The sequence below is a fragment of the Homo sapiens genome, chromosome 6, assembly GCF_000001405.40.
Source record: "Homo sapiens chromosome 6, GRCh38.p14 Primary Assembly".
Classification (NCBI taxonomy): domain Eukaryota; kingdom Metazoa; phylum Chordata; class Mammalia; order Primates; family Hominidae; genus Homo; species Homo sapiens.
In genome coordinates this window covers 165,176,495-165,179,078 of record NC_000006.12, presented here as the reverse complement: position 1 = coordinate 165,179,078, position 2,584 = coordinate 165,176,495, and the positions used below count along the sequence as shown (strand labels likewise).

General features: G+C 37.9%; 1 annotated feature.

The window, feature by feature from the left end:
* Positions 368–1,567: an enhancer, noted in NCBI's record as "CDK7 strongly-dependent group 2 enhancer chr6:165591001-165592200 (GRCh37/hg19 assembly coordinates)". NCBI's record gives its function as "activates an origin of replication core promoter dependent on BRD2, BRD4, P300/CBP, MED14 and CDK7 cofactors, with strong dependence on CDK7, by STARR-seq in HCT116 cells {active_cell/tissue: HCT116}" and the evidence as "EXISTENCE:reporter gene assay evidence [ECO:0000049][PMID:35650434]".

Here is a 2,584-nt window from a genome sequence, read left to right as displayed (position 1 = left end):
GGGGAAATGAGGAGGAACCCTTACAGCAGTGCACACTGGAATCTGAGGTTGGTCTTGTGCTTTGTTGGTTGAAACTATTAAGAAATCCAGCCATAGCCCAACAAAGCCGAAATATATGAATGTCTGTAAACACTAGGAAATAGGATACAATTATGCACATCAACCTGAGTATCTAAGGAGGAATTTTGATTACACCAAAGGGATTGTGGCATGCTTCGGAAGGAATCCACATATATTGACTGCTGGGAAACAATGATTCTGGTTAGAGCTTGCTTTTTTTTTTTTTTTTTTTAACAACAAGCGAACAAACACCTTCTATGAAATACAAAAAGGGCAAGTGTATTAACCAGAGCTTTCCAGAGAAACAGAGCCAATAGGCTATCTATGTAGCCATCTATTTATCTAATCAAGACATTTATTATAGGATATTGGCTCATGCGGTAATGTAGAGTGACTGAGAAGTCCCACAATATGCTGTGTGCAAGCTGGAGACCCACAAAGGCCAGCTATGCAATTTGAAGGCCTGAGAGCTGGAGAGTCAATGGTGTAGATTGCAGTCTGGGTTGGAAGGCCTGAGAACCAGGAGTACTGAGGGCAGGAAAGGATTGGTATCCTGGCTCAAGCAGGCAGGCAGAGGGAGGACAAATCCATTCTCCTTCGTCTGCCTTTTTCTTCTATTCAGGCCCCCAATGGATTGGATGATGCCCAAAAACATTGGGAAGGGCCATCTGCTTCATTCAGTCCACCAACTCAAATTCTTCTGGAAACATCTCACAGACACACCCAGAAGTAATGTTTAACCAGATATCTGGACATACTGTCTCCCAATCAAGCTGACACATAACATTAATCATCACAGCAAGTGAATAACACCTTGAGTCACAGAGGAAATCTAACAAACTTTGCAACTGTTGTATTCTATAAATAGGAAGAAAATGTGGAAAAATGCTTAACCTCCCCCATAGGCTGTAGGATAAAATGAAGTCTAAGAAACCAGGGTGGTAATGCATAAGAAGAGAAGAGAGAAGCTGGAAATCTCAGTAGGGTAATACAGAGATGCATAAATTAAAGAGTTGCAGTGAAATTTTAAAAATTTAAGAGTACAATTAAGGCAATGTGAAAGAGCTCCAAATGATAACTGGATTTTCGGATTAAAAGTGGGGGAAGATTCACTCTCAAATCCATGCAGATGGATTTGAGAAAATCCATTCTTTTCTTTTCTTTTTTGAGACAGGGTCTTCCTCTATCACCCAGGCTGGAGTGCAGTGGCACAATCATGGCTCACTGCAGCCTCAACTTCCCGGGCTTAAGTGATCCTCCCACCTCAGCCTCTGAAGTAGTTGGGACTGTAAGCTTGTGTCAAAATGCCCAGCTAATTTCCTTTTTATATTTTGTAGATAGGGAGTCTCACTGTGTTGCCCAGGCTGGTTGCAAACTCCTGGGGTCAAGCAGTCTTCCCATCTCAGCCTCCCAAAGTGCTGTGATTGCAGACATGAGCCATCACCCCTAGTTTCTTCTTTCTTTTTAAATGGACTTTACTTATTAAAGTAGTATTAGGTTCATAGGAAAGTTGGGCAGAAAGTACAGAGAATTTTTATATTGCCACCGCCCAACACATACACACAGCCTTTCCCACTATGGTATTTTTCTTTTTAGTTAAAAGAATTTAGAAAGATTCTGTAGGTGTTAAAGAAGACTGACTATTTTACATCCACAGGTATGAAAATTTAAGTTGGCTCCATCGTTTCCTCTGCACCTAGTTTCAGAAGACAATCAAGATATAGTCAACATTTTTGTGCATGTGTGGTAAATGGCTGTTATTCAAAAGCTGTATGCTCAGAGAAGTTGTCTTCTTATGCAGAAAAACATTAAAGACATTTTTAGATACGCAATAACTCAAAAACCTACCATGAAGTTGCTATTCCTAGGGTTAAAAAAAAAATCTTGGAATCACACCAAAATGTATTGAAACTATGACTTTAAGAACAGAATATTCATTGTTTAAACAGATTTGCAAGTCTTCCTTTCCTTGGTTTTACACTGGAATCCAGCTGAGCTGCGTGTTTTCCAATAGTTTTTGCAGGTGAAGCCAAGCTTGGTTTTCCTCATTGTTTACACTCCTAGTTGCCCTTTGGTCATAAGAATCCCTTTTTCAAGTCATATTCTTTCCATACATGGAAGCAACATCTGTTTCTCAATTACATGTTCATGCAATATGATAGCTATTTTTCTCTTTCGATACTTGTTAATTTAATTTGAACTCCTCTTCAAACAAAATTGTGAAAAGCAACAAAACATCCACTTATAAAATAATTTAATGACTTTTTCTACAGAGCTCATTTTGAATGACTTATACCATCTCATATTTTATAATTAGTGAATATAAACTACTTATTGATGTCATTTGTTTGCAAGTTGTAATTTATTTCTTTTCCATCTATAACCTGGGAATACAACAAGACTATCATTATAATTATGTTTATACCAAATATCTCCAGTAAAACCTGCTGAAAAAAAATTTCTTTTTTCTAGTTTGTTGATCTTCTGTCTAGTTTTTCTAGCTATTATTAAAAGTGGGATAGAA